The sequence below is a fragment of the Homo sapiens genome, chromosome 2 (genome assembly GCF_000001405.40).
Source record: "Homo sapiens chromosome 2, GRCh38.p14 Primary Assembly".
Taxonomy (NCBI): domain Eukaryota; kingdom Metazoa; phylum Chordata; class Mammalia; order Primates; family Hominidae; genus Homo; species Homo sapiens.
In genome coordinates, this window is record NC_000002.12 from 32,798,979 (window position 1) to 32,823,261 (window position 24,283).

The following is a 24,283-nucleotide window of genomic DNA, read 5'->3' on the forward strand; positions in this document are numbered from 1 at the left end:
GCAACCCAAATTTCCATCTATGGATGAATGGATACACAAAATGTGGTATGTACATACAATGGAATATTAGTCTTAAAAAGGAAGGAAATTGTGACACATGCTACAAAATGGATGAACCTGGAGGAGGTTTATGTTAAGTGAAGTAAACCAGTCACAAAAAAACAAATACTGTATGATTCCACTTACATGAAGTACTTAGAGTAGTCAAAATCATAGACACAGAAAGTAGAATGGTCGTTGGGGCTGAAGAGAGGAGGAATGAAGAGTTATGGTTTAATGGGGTAGAGTTTCAGTTTTACAAGGTGAAAATAGTTCTGGAGATGGATGCTGGTGATGGTTGTACAACATTATGAATGTATTTAATACTGATGAATTGTACATTTAAAAATGGTTAAGATTCTAAATTGTATGTTATGTGTATTTTACTAAAATGAGAAAGAGTAGAGGAAAAAAATCTCTCTAAGCATCCAGGTCTAAAAAGTTTACCAGATTAGTTTATGATACACCAAACAAACTCCAGATAGACTAAATCTATGCTAAATATTTTTAATCTCATAGAAAAATTAGGAATAGGGAATGGAAGTAGATACTGATAAAAGTGCTTGAACTCTGAAGCAGTAAAAGAGAGCTGGAATGAATTTTTATGATCACATTTAAAAATATGTGACAAGATATTTGTAACAAATAAGAAAGATAAAAAGCTAATAATATCCTTATTATATAAAGAGTTAACATCTGCTGCAGGAATGAAATGGAACAGAATAGAGAATTCAGAAACAGATTCAAGTAGGAATGAGAATTTAATACGTAATAATGATGGCATTTTAAATCTGTGGGATAAAAATAGGATATTTAATATGTATTGAAATAGCTAGCCAAATGTTTAGGACCAAAAGCTTGAAACCAAAATAAATTCAGTTAAATAAAATATTTAAATTGGAATTTCTTGAGAAGCAGGATGTGTTGTAGGGAAGAGCACGTACTCTGGAGTTAGGCAGCCCATTTCTGCCAGTCACTGGCTGCGTCGCCTTGGGCAGGTTACTTAACCACTTTGTGCCTCAGTTTCATGAAATAGGGATGATAGCGATACCTGCCTAGTAGGATTCTTGTGAGGATTAAATAAGTTAATAGACTATTAAGAGGAGTAAATGAGTTAATATATGTAAAGGGCGGGGAACAGTACCTGGCAGATACATACAAGTGCTGTTTTTTGTTTTTGTGTTTTTTGAGACGGAGTCTCGCCCTGTCACCCAGGCTGGAGTGCAATGGCATGATCTCAGCTCACTGCAACCTCCGCCTCCCAGGTTCAAGTGATTCTCCTGCCTCAGCCTCTTGAGTAGCTGGCCAGGCATGCCACCATGCCTGGCTAATTTTTTCTATTTTTAGTAGAGATGGGGTTTCACCATGTTGGCCAGGCTGGTCTCAAACTCCTGACCCCATGATCTGCCCGCCTTGGCCTCCCAAAGTGCTGGGATTACAGGCGTGAGCCACTGCACCTGATCCTTTATTTTTATTTTATTTTTATCATTATTTTTTTGAGACAGAGTCTCGCTCTGTCGCCCAGGCTGGAGTGCAGTGGCACAATCTCGGCTCTCTGCAACCTTCGCCACCTGGGTTCAAGCAATTCTCCTGCCTCAGCCTCCCAGGTAGCCAGGATTACAGGCATGCGCCACTATGCCCAGCTAATTTTTGTATTTTTTTAGTAGAAATGGGGTTTCACCGTGTTGGCCAGGATGATCTCAAACTCCTGACCTCAAGTGATCCACCTGCCTCGGCCTCCCAAAGTGCTGGGATTACAGACGTGAGCCACCGTGCCTGGTCACAAGTACTGTTTAAATGTAGCTCCTCTCATCATCATTGTCATCATTGAAAATGTGACACCATAGAAACACTAAAAGAAAGTATGGCAAATATTTTTATTCGCTTGGTGATGAAAAAAACATTTTTTACCATGACAAAAAGCCATACTTCTAAGGAAAAGATCAAGAGATTTGATATTTAAAACTTACTCACGTGCAAAAATAAGGACTTCTGGCCAGTGAGTGGGGTACTGTAGGTCACTAGCCATAGTAAGGGTAGGCTGTGACAGTGACATTCATATGTTTATTGCTTTCTGAACTAAAACCAGAAAATGATTTCCAGAAGCCAGGAGAGTGCCCTCGGAAGAGTTTTTCTCAGTGTTTTAACTGTCTTAGTCTTTCTGCTTAAAAATGCAATGTTAGTTTTCTAGGGCTACAATAACAAATTACCACAAACTTGCTGCCTTAAAGCAAAAGAAGTTTGTTCTCCCCACTGAGTTCTAGAGACCAGAAGTCAAGTTCGAAATCAAGGTGTTGACTTGGCCATGTTCCTCTGCAGATGCTAGGGAAGAGTCTTTCTGCACCTTTTCCAGCTTCTTGTGGCTCCTGGCGTTCCTCGGCTGTGGCACCCTAACTCCAATCACTGCCTCCATTTTCATCTCCTCTCTTCTGTGTGTTCCCTTCTTCTGAGGAAGAAGTCATTGGAATTAGGCCAACCCTAGTCCAGAATGACACCTCATCTTAACTAGTTACATTGCAAAGACCCTATTTCAGGTCAGATTCTGAGGTTCTGGGTGCACGTGAATTTTGGGGGAATGTTATTCAGCGCACCACAGCTTTTGTGCTCTGTTTCAGGAAGAAAACAGTTGTAGCAGTAGCATTGAGAACAGCGGTGTTCATGAAGAGGGGAGTAGATCCAATACCTCACTGGGAGCTGTTAGTGGTAGCAGAGGTGACAGGCACAGAGTTACACCAAGGGAAGACCAGAAAGACCTCAACCACTCCTATGAAAGTCTTGCCTTTAGTGAACACCACCAGAGATTTGAACATCTGGAAGTGACGAAAGAGCTGATGAGACTAGGAAGGGAGTTGATGGAAAACTAATAAAACTTTTCAAAAGAGACAAAAACTTAGTCATATACAATATTGGGAGATAAGACTGGAATCCCAGGTCATGTGGGACAAATTAGGATTTGTGAGAAGTTTCTGTTATTAGTCTTCAGCAGATTATGACATTCCCTGACATACCCTGAAAGAATTTGTGTATATGGATATATGCATATTCTAGAAAGCGGATGGAAAACTCTCATTAGATCCGCAAGGGTGTCCAGAACCCCAAGGAAAAAAAAAACAGAGATTAAAGAATTATCTTTGGAGTAGACTGTTAGATTTAGTTTCCAGATGAAAAGGCAAGTGGGCCTTTGCTTATAAACATCATGGATTAAAATTTACCTTTATAACTTGTTACAGTACAAAGGGGAAAATATCACTAAATGCATTTATTTAGTTTTTTAAAGTTACCAATTTTTTTAACTTTTTAAAAGTTACCTAGTTTTTAAAAGTTTTTAAGTTACCTAGTTTTTAAAAGTTACCAATGTTTTAAACTGTGTATAAATAATTTTTAAAACTTCCTTTTCTCCTATTATCACCCCCATTTCTCTGGTGCTCTTTTTGTAGTCAATCCGTCAAGACAGGAGTCTCTCCACATTATTTCTGCTTCCTCTCCTCATCCTCTTTGGAACTTACACCATTGCAGTTTTATCTCCCCTAGTCCACTTAGAGTGCTGTTGTCAAGTTCCGACTTGCCACATCCAGTGGACAGTTGCTGGTCCTCAGGTTTCCAGCAATATTAAACACCATTGCTTTCTCCTTTCTTCTCCGTTGGCTTCCAGAATTCCACACTTCTTATCACACCAGCTGCTGCATCCTAATCTTCTTTGCAGACTCATCCTCATCTTCCCTTCTCTGTGAGAACAACCTCAAGTTCAGTCCTCAATTATTTTTCTTCCCCATATATATTGCTACCCAAGGGGGCTCATCTATTCCCTTGGTTTTCTTCTCACCCTCCTGAGAATACATATTATAAAAACAAGTTACAAGATTTTCTGCACATGACCCTTTAACTCTTTTTCACATAGTCTATTCAATTTGTTTATTTTATCATGGTTGTACTTTTGGATGTCTTAATTTTTTTCCTGTTGGCTCGTATTTCCCTGGGGTATTGTCTGTTCAACTGGTAATATGTACTTGATGGGAGGGGCTAAAGCCCAGGACCTAACGTGTGACCTTCCTGGTGAGGCTGGGCCACAGGGGGAGCTCACCCATTGGATACACTTTGCCACTGCCACCTCCCACCATCACCAAGTGGCCTGGTTCCTCAGGAAACCTCCCTTACCTTCACTAGACATTGCTCTTTTCCAATGCCCATCTTCCTGAGTAGTTATCTAACCTCAGTGAGTGGAGGGCAAAGTAGAAGGGCACTCTTAGGCGCCGGCCAGGCTGCCCAAGCCCTTGCTGTCTGCTCTCCACCCTAGCCTGGTCTTCTGCCTTGATGTGCACATATGGTCCCTGCCTTGCACTGGGCTGGCACTGCTGTTTCAGTCTCTCCATGCTGATGGTAAATGTCATGGATAGTAGGATGTGGAAGAAAAAGGGACAGATAAACACTTTTCTCAGCCCATCTGTGAACCTTAGCACCTAGCACTTTTCCACCTGAGCTGTGTTCTCCACCATATTAGGATCCAACCCACTTCTGTCTCCCCAGGGTTTCTCACATGTTTTACTGTACTTTTTCAGATCATTAACTTTCTCTTTTTTCAAGCAAGGTTGATGTTGTGCAAGGTTAGGATTCAGAAGGAGTTGGCAACTTGTGTTCCTTTATAATGAAGATTAACAATAAAACTTCACGTTGGGGAAAAATGAGCTCAGTACAAAATAAGAAAAAAATGTAGGCCGGGCACGGTGGCTCATGCCTGTAATCCCAGCACTTTGGGAGGCTAAGATTGGTGGATCACCTGAGGTCAGGAATGACCAGCCTGGCCAACATGGCGAAAACCCATCTCTACTAAAAATACAAAGAATTAGCCAGGTGTGGTGGCATGCATCTGTAGTCCCAGCTACTCGGGAGGCTGAGGCATGAGAATCGCTTGAACTCTGGCATTGGAGGTTGCAGTGAGCCGAGATTGTGCCACTGCACTCCAGCCTGGGCGACAGAGCGAGACTCCATCTCAATTAAAAAAAAAAAAAAGAAAAAAATGCAAATTTCTTAGAAAGGAAATATATTTAGTCAATAAACATTTGGAAATGTTTAAGGAAATGGAAAAGTTTAACTTAACTAATAATGAAAGAAACATAGTTCAGAATAATAGCTGTATATACCTTTTGTAGAATAAAATATCAAAGATTAAAAAATTTTATATACTCAGTGCTGGTAATATGCAATTAAATGACATTTTCATACACAGTACTATTCATTGGCACCTAATTTGATTTAGCTCTTTTAGAGAATACCTCATTTATCTCGAGTCTTAAAATATTTATTCTCTTAACTCCATAATTCCATTCCTGGAATTCTAACCTAAGGAAAGGTTCAGTAATAAAAAAGTCTTTAGGCACAAAGATATGCACTAAAGTGTTTTATTTATACTACTACTGATAATGGTGGCAGCACATGGAAACAGCCTAGTGATCTAAGCGCAGGGGAATTGCTAAATAGATTATGGTCTATCAGTCCAGTGGAATATCTTGAATCTATCAAAATACTATACTTAAAGGGTATGTGGAAAACATGAAAAAAATTCTATAGCCTAATGTTACAGTGAAAAAGGAAGATAAAACAGTTTACATAATATTATATTATAAAACTTACACATAATAAAAAGATTAGAAAGAAATTTACTCTGTTAGTAATGTTTGTGATTGGCCGATGGACCCAATAAGCATAATGTTACAGTGAAAAAGGAGATAAAACAGTTTATATAGTATTATAATATAAAACTTACATATAATAAAAAGATTAGAAAGAAATTTATTCTAATGTTAGTAGTGTTTGTGATTGGCCGATGAACCCAATAAGAATTTTCTTTTTTAAATTTTGTATTAGCTCTGACATGGGGGAAATTCTAATTTTAAAAAAAAATTACAAAAACAAAACCCATTCTGGTTCTGGTTGATTCGAGATTTAGCAAAGAAATGATAAAAGTTACTAGCATACATATTTCATAAAAGAGAAACCTTTCCAATGTAAAAGAACTTAATAGAAAGGAAGAAAGAGGAGAGGGGAGCTGTGCTTTGTAAATTGATGTAGCAAATGCTTGATAACAGGATCCAGGACTCAGACTGAATTCAGATTCAAGCCTGAAGCCTGCTTTCCCTCGGTATGACCTGGGAGAGGTTCTTCAGCTCCTCTGTGCTCCAGTTTGTTCATCTGCACAATGCACATAAAAATAGCATCATCCTCATAGGGTTGCTGGGTGGGTTACATGTGCTCACAGAGCATGTGGCACATAGGAAGGGCTATATATGTAAGAGGTGTTATCTGCCTCATTGTTTTCATCTCCTCATCCTTATCTAAGCTCAGGAGTCACAGGTCACTGGTGATCAGAATCCAGCTTCATGACTCACTTGCTGTGTAACCATGAGAAAGTTTGTTTTACCTCTTTAAGCCTCAGGTTTTTTATTTGTAAAGTAGGGGTAATAAAGTACCTGCTTCCTAGGGTTATTGTGAGAATTTAATGAAATCGGGTAGGTCACGTGCTTAGCACAGGGTTTGGCACAAAGCGAGTGCTCACAGCAGAAGTAGTAGGGAGGTATCAAGAGCTGACACCATGGTGGTGAATTCTGTTTGAGTTCTGTTTTGAACCATGAGGAAACATGGAAGTAAGCTAACAGGCAGGGCAGTACAGTGAGTGAGCCAGCAATGTGGTGTTACTGTCCACTTCCAACAGAGTAAGGTAGTTGAGGATCAATGATAATTGTAATAGTTTATATGTTTATATTGCTTCACACTTTTCAAACCTCTTACCTGTATATTGGCCCCTTTGATGGAACAGTTCTGTAATGTAGTGGACAGAAAGCCTGTGCTCATTACTGCTATTTACCAGGCTCCTAGTCCCTTCCCCATGTTCATGACCTACTTCAGCAACTATGTATCCTCCTCTCCATTCTAGATCTAGCTGATCTTGATACTTGGTGTTTAGGTAGATAATATCTCCAGTACTTTGGACATAACAGAGGCCTTAGTCTTTATTTCAGTGACAACCCATCCCTGTGGCTATATCTTGGGTCCTGTTTCCCCAAGAGTCATTCCACCTCTAAAATCTTAAACTTCAATTTTCTACTCTTGAGCCACTTATTACATATGTAGTAATTTATAGTTTTGACTTGTTGCTGATAGGTTAATTACTTATAACAATTTACATGTAACAGTGGGTAAAAACATTCACCTATTTAAATTTTTTTTCACTTTTGATGAGGCAAAGGGGTATAGTGCTGGTAAATTTGTAGACTACCCAAGAGGAAATTGTACTCATGGGTGATTCATTTAATCAAAGAAATACTATCGTAACACTCTTTACTCCTTTTAATCTCAAATATCTATTTTCTAAAGAAAGGTTATATATATGTTACATTAAAAGTTACTGCTTTTGCAGTCAGTCTGGATAACCAGAATTTGAATTTTCTGACTTAGTGGGAATAAAAATGATAATATTAGCCAGTAAGTTATACAATTACTGTAATGGTTTTTAAAAATAATTGCTATCAGAGGCTGAGGCGGGCAGATCACGAGGTCAGGAGATCGAGACCATCCTGGCTAACACGGTGAAACCCCATCTCTACTAAAAATACAGAAAAAATTAGCCGGGCATGGTGGCACGCGCCTGTAGTCCCAGCTACTCGGGAGGCTGAGGCAGGAGAATCGCTTGAACCAAGAGGCAGAGGTTGCAGTGAGCCAAGATCGCGCCACTGCACTCCAGCTTGACCGACAGCGAGACTTTGTCTCAAAGAAAAAAAAAAAGTTGATATCACTCTAGAACCACTTTTTAAGATTGAATATTAGCTTCATTTATTAATGTACTTAAATAACACTACATATTTTTACTTCACTTTATGAGGTTTTCTTAAGTACAGGGAATAATTTTAAATTAATTTTTATTGAAATGTAGTGTACATACAGAAAAGTATGCAAATCATAAGTAAACATAAGAATTTTTTCTTCGTGAAAACACCTGTGTAACCAGGTGAGTCAGAGCATTACCAGCACTCCCCATATTCCCCAAACCCTCCCTTCCTTCTTTTAGTCACCACTACCCCCAAATACCCTCAAGGTAATCACCACTATGGGACATTAAAGGCAAGTCTAATAAATGAATATTCATGTGTGTCATCATTTTTTTCTTCTTCTTTGCCAATCTTTAGATGTATTTATGTCTGCTTTTTCTCTGTTTTTAAATGTATATTAAAATAACAGATATATAGTTTTACAAGCCAAATAATAGTAAAAGGCTCATTACAAAGTATACCAATTTCCTTCTTTACCCCTCCTTACTCTTCAAAATCCTTCTCCCAAAAAAGGAGAAACCCTTTAGCGTCTCTTCTGCTACTTGCACATTTCCATATTTCATATTAATAGTTACTATATTGCTGTTATTTTTTAATTAAACAAAATGAGGCATTATTTGTTGACTTCTTCTTATCTTTTTATAATAAATGAGAACTGTCATACCGGCACTTCCACTACTTCTCTTTCTCATCATCCTAATATATCTATTTTAACAATTTTGGTTAAACAAATACACTAAATGCCTATGCAAAGGATATTGAAAATTAGTATTATAGGATACTATGATTATGGGGGGTTTCTCTTCATTTTTTGTGATGTTAATAATCGTCTTGGTTTTTATGTTTTTTCTTTCTTTTTAAGCCTCTTGTCTGAAATCATGATCTCTCCTGCCTTCCTTGTTCTGGCTTTGGTTCTGGATTATGGTCACTCACCCTTAATGATTGCCAAATCCAGGTGAATCTTCCATTCCTGATCCTTTGTAGATCGACTTTCCTTGTAACTTTCTCCTTCCTTGGTTTCCATGACATCACTTTCTTACCTTTCTGGCCACTCCTTTTCAGTTCGATGAGTGAGTTCTCTACTTGCCCTCTTTTTTTTTTTTTTTTTTTTTGGAGACAGAGTTTCGCTCTTGTTATCCAGGATGGCATGCAGTGGCGCAATCTCAGCTCACTGCAACCTCCCCTCCTGGGTTCAAGTGATTCTCCTGCCTCAGCCTCCCAAATAGCTGGGATTACAGGTACCCACCACCACACCCTGCTAATTTTTTTGTATTTTTAGTAGAGACAGGGTTTCACCATGTTGGCCAGGCTGGTCTTGAATTCCCGACCTCATGTGATCCGCCTACCTCTGCCTCCCAGAGTGCTGGGATTACAGGCGTGAGCCACTACGCCCAACCTACTTGCCCTCTTCTTAAATGTTGTGTTCTTTAAGATTCTATCCTCAGCCTTATTCTTGCCCAACACAGTCTCTTTAGGCAATATCTGCCATGACCCTCAATGACTCTCGTTATCTATTCCTCCAATGTGGAACTCTTTTCTAAGCTCCAGGCCCAGCTATTTCACTGGCCATTGAACATGCAGATGGGGAGCGTGAAACAAATTGGTTATTGCCTCCCTCCTCTCTCTTCTGGTGGTATCTGCATATGAACTGGGCAGAGGCATTCAGTATCTGCCCTACCTACAGTTCTATCCCCTGTCTACCCCCCACAACAGACAGAAGCTTCACCTCCTTGCCCTTCTGCAGTTCCCTTCATGCCCCTGCAAACACACACACATACACAGAGGAGGCACAAATGCACTTTACCAACTTTTTCCCTCCTTAATGCCAGGACTACAGCTCTTCATTTTTATTGGCAAGAACACCAAAAGCTGTCTCTCCCCACATCGTCTCCCCAGTAGGCTAAAGTGAAGGGATAGGATGTTGAGCCAACTGTGGGATTCCAGAAGAAGCAAAGCATCACTCATTAGTGTGTTTCATTTGTACATGTTAGTAACTATTTTAATAGACCATCTTTTTCAAAACATGTTAATACCTGACATGCTTATAGAATGATCACTTGAAACAAGCAGTACACATTCAGACTGTTTCTTCTGCATTGTTACTTTCAGATTTAAAACACCAGTGGGATTGTAATATGAATTTCATTACTTTAAGAGTCAAAGGTACACATGTGGGATTGTAATGTGAATTTACAGACAGAGATGATGTACCTTGTCAAAACAAGAAAAAAGCACAACTGAATTTTCTGTCTTCTTTTATGACTGTATATAATTAAGACCATGAATCTGAGTTCACATTCCTAAAAGTATCCATGTTCCAGAGGAGCCCCTACTCCTCAGCCACATCTCATGCACGGATCAGAATGTTCTAGGAGGAGACAGCAAGATCTCACACTGGTTGCATTTCTCTCAGCTACGCTTTCTGAAAGAGTTGTATTCATTCAGTCTTTCAGGCACAATTATTTATTGAGTCAGTGCAATTGCAATATGCCAGGCACTATATTAAACACTGGTGATACAGAATGATAAAATGCCATCCTCTCCCTGCAGTTCACGGTAAAATTAAAGATGTGGGCAGCTGTCTCTTGGAGCCTTGCTTCTCGAAGTGTGCCCTGCAGACCGTCAACATCAGCATCACCTGGGAGCTTGTTGGAAATGCAGAATCTTGGTCCAAGATGGATCAGCATTTTTATCCAGGATTCTGCATTTCTAACAAGCTCTGATGCCAGTGCTGTCGGTCCATGGACTGCACTGACTAGCATGGTGTTACAGTACTTTCCTCAAGCTGGTTCTTTTGCTGTCCCACCATCAAAGGAGTGGAAGATTGCGGTTGTGTTTTCTGTGCCTTCAGATACACAGCCTAATGTAGATATGACAGATGTGCCTTTTTATAATATAACCTGGTGCAGACTGCAGTTTAATCCATCTGTCAGCATTCAAAGCATCTGGGATAGAATGTGTAAAGGCTGACTGATGATAATAAGATAGCCAAGAAGTTAGGCCGGGCGCAGTGGCTCATGCCTGTAATCCCAGCACTTTGGGAGGCCAAGGCGGGTGGGTCACGAGGTCAGGAGTTCAAGACCAGCCTGGCCAACATAGTGAAACCCCATCTCTACTAAAAATACAAAAATTAGCCAGGCATGGTGGCGCTCACCTGTAGTCCCAGCTACTTGGGAGGCTGAGGCAGGAGAATCACTTGAGCCCGGGAGGCGGAAGTTGTGGTGCTGAGATCATACCACTGCACTCCAGCCTGGGCAACAGAGTAAGACTCTGTCTCAAAAAAAAAAAAAAAATGGTGAGCCAACCTGAGGTAGTTGGAAAGAGAAGAGATACTTGCTAGATACTTCGCATGCCTAATGCAAATGCATTAACGGTTCATCATTTAGTAATTAGGAGGGGCTAGGACCTCTTTAAGCGGAGTTAGAAGGTTATTATAGCAGCCCAGATGGAAGTTAATGAGGCCTGAACTTAGGTAGGAGAAGCTGTATTTAGGATTGTTTTCAACAACGTTGTTTTCAATGTTGTCCTAAATAGGACATTAGGAATGTTGAAAACATTGGGAAGGTTGAAAATCAAACAAATCAACATTAGGAATGTTGAAAATCAAATTAGTAGTTGTGGCAGAAGTGGGAGATAATCTAGGTTGATGCTCAGGTTATTGGCTTTGGGAACTGTGTGGATAGGCTCACCTAGAGATTACAGGAAGAAGATCAATTTGAGATCTATGTTTCACTTTGGATAGATGGAGAGGGATATTGGTGTAACCTGTCTGGTAGGTATTGAGGTGCACAGTCCTGGAGCTCCAGAGGGGAATCTGGCTGGAGCTGCATAGACACTAGTGAAGCCAACTCAGCAATATATATGAAGCTATAGGTGTGGATCCAATCATTCAGAGAGAATGTTCCAGGTGAGAAGAGCCAAGCACCAAACATGGGGCCCTTTGAATGAAAGAAGAACCCTCTCTGGAAGCTTTTGAAGGGACATCAGAGAGGTAGTCACCATGAGATCCTAGAGAGTGCTTTAGGATTGAATTTTATTTTGCTTTTCAAAAGCTTAAAGGTGATACTCTTAACAAGTTTCATAAGGTTTTTCATTGTCATTGTCTTTGATGATGGTGAGATAGCTCTTTGTTTTTGTTATTGTTTGTTGGTTTCTAACTTACCAGTTTGTTCTGTGCATTTTTAAGGTCCTTAAAATTCTAGTCAGGGCAGTGATTGATGGGATGACTGATCGAAGTGGAGATGTTGCAACTGGCCTCAAAGGAAAGCTGCAGGAGTTATTTGGCAGAGTGACTTCAAGAGTGACAAATGATGGAGAAATCTGGAGGCTGTATGCCCACGTATATGGAAATGGGCAGAGTGAAAAGCCTGATGAAAATGAAAAGGCAAGTCCTTCATTCCTCCTGAGTCCTTGCCTTTCGTTTGAACATGTTGTAGTAGATCTACTTTTTTGATGGGTGGAGGAAGAGTTTAACAATCTGAAAGATAAGATTAGTATGCTTAAGTTCAGTTCTGATTCAGTCTTTAACCTACGTACTTTGAATTGTGGGCTGGTTAAAACTTGTAACATTCATCTTTTTATTTACCATGAAGTTTTCTTACATAGTTGTTCCCTGTTTCCTGCAAAAGGGCCTCTTGAAATGGCCACCCCTACTAAATCTGCAGCAGAGTTGGCTTTTGTTATTTACTCCATACCCCTTTCTGCAGGCACCTTGCTAAAGACTACAGTAGATGGGTACAAGGAGAGAAGGAGTATTTAGATCTGAGATGGGGATTAGGAAAAGAAAAGAGAAAAATGAACAAGATAAAGATCTTGGAAGAGAACTTTTAAGTCAAAACATAATACTTTTACAAAGGTTGCCCTGCCCTTTCTCACAAGTGCGATAGAACACCAGTTCCACTCAAGTTATGCCTTTAGCCTCTTATCTTAGAACTTAAAGGAGCCTGCAGAGTTTCCAAAGTTGGAATAATTGTTTTATGTTTCTTTTCAAAACACCCACAACAAATCAAATGTACTCCTTGCGTGGGTTTGGAATTAGCCACGGCACAGCTAATCTGTGGGATTCTTAGCCATTCTCTCCTCCCTCAATCCACACAGCTGGCTTCCACCGTGGCCTTGTCAGCCCAGAGAACGTGTATCACCTGCACACATGCACACCCTACTTTCATGTCCTTCCATTTCTCCTTGAATTATGGACTTTCTTGCATATATGGAATTAAGAGTACCCAGAATTCTCTGACCTGTGACTTCTCCCTCAAGGATTTGAAAGAGGGTGCATTAAACATCTGTGAGATTACATATATCTACCAGCAGTTTCATTGTTTTAACCAAGTTCATGCCTCATTCTCTAAACAGGTTTTTTAAACTGATGGCTACAAATGCTGAGAAAATCTGTATATTTACAGATTTCCAAACCTGGCCTTTATATCTTTCTGGTTACAGGGAAGTGTCTCAATCCAGGTACATCCATTTGATTTCTTGCCACGGCTTGTTGCCGTTGGGTGTGCATTTCCACCCCTTCTTTGGTGAGAGTAATAGACGCTGTGCTGTACAACACAGATGCTGCTTTTTCACATTGGAATTAGTTCCATATGACTTCCAGGAAACAGAGTTTGAAATGTGAATTCTACTTGTTATTCTGAATGTTGTTCTTTCTCCTTCCTCAGGCATTCCAGTGCCTCTCAAAGGCATACAAGTGTGACACCCAGTCCAATTGTTGGGAGAAAGATATTACATCATTTAAGGAAGTTGTTCAAAGAGCCTTAGGACTTGCACATGGTATTTGATGTAACATTTGATATCCATGGAATGTTTTGACTTATTTTCTACTGACAGAAAAGAGTGTTGGTCAAAAGTAAAGTTCCATTATAAATAGTATCAAATTATTTCATTATATTGACATTGTTGTATTTAATTCAGCAAACATTCATAGACCACCTACTATGTAATAGGCATTTTGAAATAAGAAGAAGAAACAGGATAGAGGCTTATATTCTGTTGGAGTAAGTAACAGAAATTGGAAACTTTTTTAGAGATGTGAAACATCTTTACAACTTTGTATAACCTTCATTCCACACTGAGTTTCACTGTATTGATTACATAGCATTAAGGAAATCTGTTAATTTTAACTTGACTCACACATAGATCTCTGGGGTACATAGCAGTATGCAGAGCTGTAGCATATACAAAAGAAATATAAAATAAAAGCCTTATCTTTGGGAAATGGTAGAGGATATTGTTTGAGGAAAGGTTTAACCTTACATATAAAATTATATGCCTGTTGGGTAAATATAGTCCAAATAAGCATTGCTTTTAGTTATTAATTTTTAAAAATGCCAGTTAAATTTGGTAATGCATTTTTATATTTATATTTGAATATGGGTGTGTGATGCAGTTCCAATAAAATAATGATGCCCCCAATGTTAAGAACTGAATCACAAAGACCTTACACCAATCCTAAAGTTCTCCTTCTACTTCCCTGCCTAACTAACTTCCTTGCTGCCACTAATAATTACAACAAATAGGGAGCAAACAAGGAAGAATGCAAAGGGCAGAGCTTTAAGATCAGGGAGACCTAAGCTCCAGGACCAGCTCTATCACATGCTTGCTAGTTGACCTTGGGTAAATAATTTAACTTCTCTGAGCCTTACTTTCCTCATCAGTAAAATGGGATAATACCTACCCATGAAGAATAAATGAAAACATTCAAACACTTAGCAGTATTTCACACATGGTTTAGATATTAATACCCTACCCTCTCACCACCACCCTCTTCCTTCCAAAGTAGAGGACTTGAGCTATAGATGATAAGGGACTCAAAACTAAAAAAACAAAAATTAAGAACAAGGATAAAGTTTGGCTTGCTTATAAAGAAGTCACAGAACATTCAGAAAATTTAGAAATTAGCTTGGTAGTTGATAATTCTACTTTTGACCTTTGATATCTTTGACCTAAAGGATATAAATATCTAATTTCCTGGGTCACCAAGCACTTGGCAGAGAAGGTAGAAGTGCTGAGCTCTATATAGCTGAAAGTCAATGTAGAAAAGTTGGGGGTAATTGCTAATAGAGCCGTAGAAGGATGTTTTGGGGGTGGTTAGAATTCATGTGGCTTCTACTGACCTCATGATGGGTGGGCTCAGTTGGGATCCAGTCCTTATGCTTTTGGTCTTTGTGGATATTGTATGATATTTGGGGAAACCCACACTGATGTATTAGGTACATAATTAGCAGGATGGGATTTACTTTGAAAAATTTATCTTATCTACTTCAACTTGCCAACTCTAAGCATTTCTATGAACTGCTCGTCTGTAACAGTCAAAGCCACGCTATTTTCTGAACTCACCAAGTAATGGTATTAAACCTGTCAAAGAGAGATATGCAGGTTAAAGAGATACTCTAGGAAAAATCTTTATTTTGCATCTTAAAGTTGGGTTTAAACTGTTATTGGCATTATTTTCTTCATCAGGGCAATACTTGGAGAAAAACAAGTGTCCATTCTTTTAAGTTCTCCTCTGACATCATTGAATTATGTGTTCATGCTCCTACAACATTTTAAGCGTATTTGAGTGGATGCCCAGCTTTCGTTTCTGATGATATTTTAGATTTACAAAGATAAATCTTAATCATTTCCTTGTTACTTTTGTACCTTAGTGCAGAAAGAATAAGCTGGATTTCTCTGTGTATGAGTCTCTTCAAAACATTGTTCCTCCACCCCACCCAATTATAAAAAGGAAATACAATCAAGCATCCCATAGCAACATTTTGGTCACCAGTGGACCCACATATATGACAGTGGCCCCATAATATTGTAAAACCATATTTTTACTGTACCTTCCCAATGTTTAGATAGACAAATACTTACCATTGTGTTCTGATTGCCTGCAGTGTTCAGTACAGTCACATGCTGTACAGGGTTGTAGCCTAGGAGTAGTAGGCTATATACCATGTAGCTAGGTGCATAGTAGGCTATACCATCTAGGTTTGTGTAAGTACACCCTATGATGTTCTCACAACAACAAAATTGCCTCACCACACATTTCTTACACCGTATCCCCATCATTAAGTGATGCATGACTGAATAACATTTTTAAAAATCTCCACATGGTTTACTCCTTGGGTTGCTATCATTAAGGTAGCCATGCACTTCAGAAAGCTTGATAAGATATTGCGACCTTGACATAGTATTTGAGGCCTCCCTATAACAATGTCATCATTGTGTGCTCATTTGTATTGTCTGGAAGGTATACATTTATAGTTTCTGCTATTTGATTTTCTGGGAAAGGGTGGGCTAAAGTGTTTCAGCTCTTTGCCATCCAGGAGTTTTTAAAATAAGAGTTAATGCATTTTAACTGCAGTTTACATAGAGGAGGCACTGCTGCTTCAGATTTTTTTTTTTTTTTTTTTTTTTTTTTTTTTGAGACGGAGTCTTGCTCTGTCGCCCAGGCTGGAGTGCAGTGGCGCGATCTCGGCTCACTGCAAGCTTCGCCTCCCAGGTTCACGCCATTCTCCTGCCTCAGCCTCCCAAGCCAGCTGGGACTACAGGCGCCCACCACCACGCCCGGCTAATTTTTTGTATTTTTAATAGAGACAGGGTTTCACCGTGTTAGCCAGAATGGTCTCAATCTCCTTACCTTGTGATCCGCCCGCCTCAGCCTCCCAAAGTGCTGGCAGATTTTCTGATGATTTGAAACAGCAAGTTATTTCTCTCCCTCTAGCTGTCTGTCTCTATCTCAGTCTATAATGCCTTTTGGAAATGGGATTGAGTAGGAAAACTAATAGAGTATATCTGTCTTTTTGCTTTACTTTTGTTTTTGTCAGAATGAAAATAAGGGATTAAAAAAGAAATACAGCAGTTTCTGATCTAAACTGCTGGGTACTAAACAGCTCAAATACCGCTGCCATGGTGGTTACAACTTTCCTCTACTAAGAGAAACAGATTAATAATCCCCGCTATCTCTGGGCTAACTCTGCCTTTTGAAAATGGGCTTAACATTGCTAATTATTATGCATCCTCTCACCCTTTAATGAGAAATGTCAAAGTCTAATTATTATTCCTCATTATTACTCTAAGATAGGAATGTCAAACCTAGTTCTTGCTGGCCTTGGAAGATATTAATTAATGACAGAACTCTGTTTTGCCAGGCACAGGCAGCCTCTACCGATTGATTAGTCTTTGCGTGCAAAAAGAAATCTATTGGGCTGGGTATGGTGTCTCATGCCTGTAATTGGGAGGCTGAGGTGGGTGGATCACTTGAGCCCAGGAGTTCAATATCAGCCTGAGCAACATAGTGAGACCCCATCTCTACCAAAAAATTAAAAAATTAAAACATTAGCTGGTTGTGGTGACATGCACCTGTGGTCCCAGCTACTTGAGAGGCTGAGGTAGGAGAATCACTTGAATCCTGCAGGTTGAGGCTGCAGTGAGCCATGATTGTGTCACTGCACTCCAGCCTCGGTGACAGAGCGAGACCTTGTCTCAAAAAAAAAAAAAAATTGATTTTCTATCCTTGGTCTACAATCTAGAGTATAAAGTAGACTTTAATCCTTGCGCTGTTTAGTGTCATTTTAAAGGAGTATCTGATTATTGGTCTGTTTGAATTTAGTGAGCATAATTTAGGGAACAAAACCAAGAACAAGCCAGTGGGGAAATATTGGGCATTATGTTTGTACAAAGCTCTTCACTCGTTCTCATAAAGCATTAATAGCCAGGCCTTCTACCAGGAAGAACGATGCCTTCTTCGTAGTTTCAGGTTTTGGGAAAATGAGTTCCCCAGAATGCTGGGAGCAGAGTTGTGATTCACTCTTGCCCATTCCCTGCTGATGCCAAGCCTTGCTCAGGAACTTAAGAACCTGGTTGTGGTCGCGTTCTCTACATGAAGACACATGGGTTGCTGTCAGTGCTTCCTGAATGGTGCTTCAAACCCTGATTATGAAAATGCAGTAAGAATTGAGCTGTACAGATCTGGCATGTCACTTCCTTGGGCTTGTGTCATCAGCAGTTGTGAAGTCCCCATTGGGGACTTGGTAGCATGGAAAGCCACACAAAGATGTGCTGCATCTGTTTTTGTCTGTGTGGGTACTTTGTTTTCAATAATATTTTGTCTCCTTGCCTAATTTTATTTGTCTATGCACATGTGTGCGTGTGTGTGCTCGAATGCATGCGTGTATATGTGTTTAGGGTCTCTTCCCAGTGATCCGTAACTCACCAAAAATCACCTGTTTTTCCCAAAATTCCCTGGAGCAGTAAATTACCATTCTTAAAGAAGGATAGAGAAAGGCCAGGTGCAATGGCTGACACCTGTAATCTCAGTGCTTTGGGAGGCTGCAGCAGGAGACTAGCTTGAGGCCAGTAGTTCAAGGCTGTATGCCACACCTCCAGACTGAGCGACAGGGTGAGACCCTGTATCTTAAAAAAAAAAAAGAAGAAGAAGAAGAAGAAGGATAAAGGGAAAAGCTATGTACATAATTATTATTCTTTTTCAACAATAAAAACTTTCCAGGTAGAAGTGTTTCTAAAGTATGTTACTATAAAAATTCTAATTAAATAATTGGCTTTTGTACCTGTGAATTATTATTAACACTTTTTAATGGATGTTTCTCTCCATACTTATCTTCCAGTGGCCATAAAATGCAGTAAAAACAAATCCAGTTCCCAAGAAGCTGTACAAATGCTTTCTTCTGTTCGACTCAATTTACGGGGCTTGTTATCTAAAGCAAAGGTGAGAGTGACATGTGAATTAATTGGAATTGTCATATAGAAAAAGGTCATTAGTATCAGCTTATTGCTGTTAAATCTTCTTTTACATCAGTGATAATTTTAGGCGCATGTTTTATTTAATATAGCAGCCCCCTCATGGTTGGTTGTGTTGTGAGGATACTATTGGCCTAATGGATAGACCACTCTAAATGTGTATGACTTAAGAGTCTTTGAAATTGTCTGGGTGCAGTGGCTCATGCCTGTAATCCCAGCACTTTGGGAGGCCAAGGCAGGCAGATCATTTGAGGTTGGGAGTTTGAGACCAGCCTGGCCAACATGGTGAAACCCCATCTCTACTAAAAAATACAGAAATTAGCTGGGCATGGTTGCGGGTGTCTGTAATCCCAGCCACTCAGGAGGCTGAGGCAGGAGAATCTCTTGAACCCGGGAGGCAGAGGTTGCAGTGAGCCGAAATTGCACCACTGCACTTCAGCCTGGGTGACAGAGTGAGATACCATGTCCCAAAAAAAAAAAAAGTCTTTGAAACTAATGTTTACAATTCAGCCCTTAATGCTTTCCTTAAATTAAAATAAAACAATGCTCTTGTATTTATTGTCATTTTCCCCCAAAGTGTGGCATATATGCTACTGGTAAACTTCTGGTTTAAATATATATTCATTTCAGTACATATTAGAAAAAAAGCAGACTAGCTCATCAAGCCTATAATTTCATGAATATTATTGCTTATTTTGTATTTAAAGTTGCAATGTAATGTTTCCTTTTAGAAAGACTCTTAAGTAAAAAAATTGACTTAGATAAAAATATTAAGTAGGTCGTATATGGATGTGAGCAAAATTGTTAAGGTAGATGGCTATTGAGGTTTGACAACTGAAATACGCCATTAGTTCACAAAAACTAACTTGTGTACCAGTGCTGGGCCAGAGATGCCTAAGAATCACTCAGGGAGCTTTATTGAAGACTGGATTGATTCTTGGGCTCTATCTGTGACCGATGTAGATTCAGGTCTGGGATGGACCCAGGAAATCTGTTGAATTTCCTATGTGATTTTACTCTGCAGCCAGGTTTGGATTATACCTCTGGAAGCAAAATTTGGACAAATATAACTTCTAGCACAATTTAGCACTTACTTTTCTAGCCTTTACTTGCTTTCACTATTGCATCTTGGGTTGCAAAGTAATTTTGACTTACTTCCGAGAGTAAGTCTCTGGCACAGGGAGGCCATTTCTGAATACCTTTTTACTCTGTAACCGCCTTTCTGAGTATTTTTTTGTTCTTATTAATGGTTTGATCTTTTCAGATCAAGGCATCATTTTTGCCTCTTTAAATAATTAACTTACTTCACTTTTCCTATTTATCTGCATGACCCAGGAGAACTATATTTCCTCCTAGCTTGGCAGCACAACTTCAAAATTGTGTCTCTCGGAAATCTATAAGAGCCCCCTCAAAGTCAGAGCAGCAGGGTTTTTTCCTGTGACTTTCCTTCCCAAAGTGGGAGCTTTGTTTCCTACTTTTGATCAGTGATCTAATCAAAGTAGTTTACTTCTACTACTACCACAGTAGTTTACTTCTTCAGGGTATACTGTGGCTTCCTTTTGTCTGTGCAAAGCTTTTTCTTACAAATTACTACTTTATGTAATCTATACTTGCATGACTTGAATAGTATTGTCTGTGCAGGTACTGCACACCTTCCCATATTATGGTAGATTCCCACATAATGAAAATGCGGCCCCAGAACATCATCTGTGTTTAGATTTTCATTCTCATTAGATGCCAACTGGATTATCCAAAAATGGGAAAAATTACCTCCCAGTGCCTCCTCTGAAGCATATTTCACATATATTTGGGAGTCTCTGGTTTCGTAGATCTTATGCCTTTTCTATTTAATGAATTAGGTTTGTCAAACTGAATTGCATTCCAAAAAAGTCACTTTTTTAGAATACTTTAAAAAGTGAAAATGAAGATTGAAAATGAATGAGGATAACTATGTTAAATTGCTTGCAGCCTATGTTAAATAGGCTTAATTGAATGAATCTCAGGTCTTTTCTTGCCAGGCCAGGGACTTCATGGAAATAAGCTCCTAGTACCTAGAGACTCACCTAACAAATCATCCAGTCCATGCTCTCCCAGGACAGAGTGACTCCCCTGCCCATTTGCACCCTGTCCTTGTACAGGTTTGCTGCCAAGAGTGGCATGAAGGGGCTGTTCATGAGAGTGCTGGAGAGCCTGGACACAGAACAGATTTGACCCCTTACAGTCTTTGGGACTCTCAGCAAATTATTCACTTTTTTCTAAGCCTCAGTTTCTCCGTGCTTCCTCCTTACCCCACAGGGAAGTGATGCCGATTGATTATGATTTGCAAGCACTGTAATTCTTAGTTTAAAAACGCACACACAAAAACCAAAAAAACTATGTGAGGCTAGGTTATTTTCCTAAAAGGTGTTTTCTCTGCTGATGACATTGGAGCAGTTCCTACTTCATTTTGTTATGAAATGCTGTACAAATCATGTAGTCAAATCCAGTGAAACAGATATTTGGCAAGCTACATAAATGATATTTCTGAATAAAACATATACACAGTCGCATGTACACACGTGCACATGTGTGCACACATACACATACCATGGGGTCATAAAATCCTGAAGTTGATTTTCTTGGGGGCCTATGTTGGCTCAGCAGGCAGTTCCTGGAGAGGCATTTCCAAATGTTTTCAGCTGTGGTAGCATGATTGAAATATGTTGCAATAAACCTCCCAAGGCAATTCCTTTTTCAGGGAGAGGACACAGTTATTTTTATTTTGCTGGACTTTTTTGCTAGGATAATCTTTGTGGTCTCTGAGGCCTAAGCGAAATTAATTTTCAAGTAAGTAGCATAAAGGGTATGATTTATATGAATTTGAACATAGAATATATTTGTTTTGCCTGCATACACAATAAATAAAGTCATTTTGTTTAGTTGAATTATGTCTGTTCATTCAAAAACCATCCTATAACATTGAAATGAATAATGAGAATTTAGGCAAATGCGTTGAAGAGCAGAGCTCATTTGAATTTATAAGTTCAGGCATGTTGTTTTGATTCACCCTTTAATTATTTTAGCTTGTACATTTCTTGGCTAGTGAACAGAAAAAAATGCTACCATTGCTATTATAATTGTATAGTATTATTATGCAAAAGGTTTTTTAACTCTATACTCTGTATCTATTTTATTTTAAAGAAATTTGTGTTGTTTTAATACTTCTGCTTTGTTTTTTATATTACAGCAACTTTTTACAGATGTGGCAACTGGAGAAATGTCCAGGGAATTAGCTGATGACATAACAGCTATGGACACCTTAGTGACAGAGCTCCAAGACCTAAGCAACCAGTTTCGAAATCAGTATTGATTCTGCTGGAAGCAGATTCTGGAAAAGGTGCTTTCACCTGCTGGTAAAAGATACATCTGTATATCTGAAATGCAAGATATTGATTTTTAAAATAAATTTGTTTTATGACTTAACATTCTTGGTTTTGTGATGTTTTCAATTTTATATGCTTTCTGAAGTATATTAAATTTTTAAAACTCCCTATTTCGTTAGGTCTAATTATAGTTGAGTTCAGTATTTTTATTCTTGAGGTATTTTGGCACAAAGAGCAATTAAATTAATTTTGTTTTTAATATAGTGTTTATTCTCTTTCAACCTAACATTAATTGGATCATACTTTGGAAAACCTTTTGTCTAAACAGGTGAAAATCACGTACTACAAGTTTGTGAAATCATTAGATTGACTGCTTTATTGTTCAAAAGTGATAAAAGAGTGGACTTGGAGCTAGAAACATTTATGTTTCTTGAGATTTTGTGCTTGTTTCAGAAAGATACAGACTTGGCGAAATTGGAAATGTGAGCATGGTTTAACTTCTAAATCAAGAAAATGCAAGAAAAAAATGGCATAACCTAAATTTTTGCTTAGTTACTAGGAACTAGGCTGTTACCCCTTCATTATGTATACAACCGGCCCCAAAGATAGTTGTTTAATTAGGGTATTATGGGTGAAGACAGCTATTAATGGTGCCATATTACAGAAATGCGAAAGTAAAATGCTTTCAATGTCTATGGAGCCAAATATTGAAGGCAGCAGCTGAGCTTAATAATCTTAGTACAAAAGTCATAGTGAGGAATTCTAAGTCCTGGCTTGGGTTGCTACATTTTGGGTCCCATGTATAAATCACTTGGCCCTTTTTTTTTTTTCCATGTTCTTATATATAAGATGTAAATAATTTCTACTCGTAGCCTCTTTGTGAGTTTCAATTGCCTTTGGAAACTTAAAAATTCATAATCCATTAAGTATCCTGAACATTTAAAAACCATCTTTAAAAAACCCTTTTATTAGTGAATTTTGATTATGAATGCTTACCAGTGCTAAATGCTCTCATTTCTTAACCACTGCTTCTTTTCTATTAGCATATTGCCTTAAAAAGAAGTTGGCATATGCCCCAAAGCAGTTTCTCTTATAGCAGAGACAATACCTGTGAGAAAGACCAATAAAATGAGTTAACATTAAGGGTCTACATAAACCTTTTATAGAAGTCATTGAGGAATAGATGGGTGAATGGATGGGTGGATGCTTGAATGGGTGGATGGAACAAGATTTTAAGATTAATTTTTATTAGTATCAAGCTGTGAACCCTAATAGAAAGTGGACAGAAAATAAATACTGAAAAGGACAATCATTTCAGCAGTCAAGTAGAAGACTGAAGTAGAGCATCAAAGTTGTAGAAGTTTTTGGTCTTCAGTTTGCTTTCCTTGGGTTCAAGGTAGAAAGGCATCAGTGATTGTGAGAAGTCACAAACCAAGTCACAGAAGAGCTATCTCCTTGCAGTCATGTTCTCCAATGCTGTGCTGGACAAAATCAAAGTAATATATATATTACTCTTTTATCTTGGAGTGATCTCACAAAAGTGAGAGCTACTAGATGTTTTCTTTAAAGGCATAGACCTATTATTATTATTATTTTTTAATCTTACTTAGGTGAGTGTTTAAGATAATTGAAGAAAATGTGTGGGGAGGTAAAGTAGGGAAAGCTTGGGGTTTTCTAAAAGCCTCATCTCTGCTACCTAACATTTAATATTTAATTTAGCTACTTGGTTTTTTCATCTGACAAATGAGTGTGATGATAATAGTACTTTTCATCAAGTTGTTCCTATCTCTTAAAAAACATTTTCACCTAGCCTCAGAGTTAGTGATACAGAATCTGTATACACTCCAGCCTGGGTGACAGAGCAAGACCCTGTTTCAAAAAACAAAAAGCAAAAAACCTTAAAACAATGCTGTATTATTTATTATACGATCTTTGGTGCTTTGTGTTGATATATTATGGTTAAATGCTTGTGTTTCCAAATGCCTTATGTTTTATAAGTTTCACTTTGGTTTCCAATTATTAACACTTTTGCTTTCAGAATTATTCTTTTGCTTTTCCAATTAGAAAAATAGAAAAGATGTGATTCTTTAATCTTACTGCCTTCCCAGAGTGTGAATAATAATTATAATAGCTACAAGTTATTGAGTTCTCACTATGTACCAGGCATTTCACCTGGCATCATCTTTGACCATCAAAAGAGCCCTGCTAGGTCTGTTCGTGATATCACTAGAAAACTAAGGGTCACAAACTCTAGAAAGAGAAAGAGCCAGGATTTGAAGACTACTAAAGCCTGCATTGTTTCTGCTTTCG

The 24,283-nt window shown here is 38.7% G+C and overlaps 1 protein-coding gene across 5 annotated transcripts in view; it reads left to right on the plus strand.

Annotated features, from left to right (window-relative positions):
- TTC27 (tetratricopeptide repeat domain 27) overlaps window positions 1–22,073 on the plus strand; it is a 193,002-nt gene extending 170,929 nt beyond the window's left edge. For all 5 annotated transcript variants that reach the window (NM_017735.5, XM_011532958.3, XM_005264416.3 and 2 more), the window contains 4 exons: window positions 12,046–12,243; window positions 13,526–13,637; window positions 18,479–18,579; window positions 21,838–22,073. In NM_017735.5, coding sequence (NP_060205.3) covers window positions 12,046–12,243; window positions 13,526–13,637; window positions 18,479–18,579; window positions 21,838–21,960 — 534 coding nt within the window. In that variant the 3' untranslated portion in view covers window positions 21,961–22,073. The remainder of the gene's footprint in view (window positions 1–12,045; window positions 12,244–13,525; window positions 13,638–18,478; window positions 18,580–21,837) is intronic.
- Window positions 22,074–24,283: the final 2,210 nt, after the last annotated feature.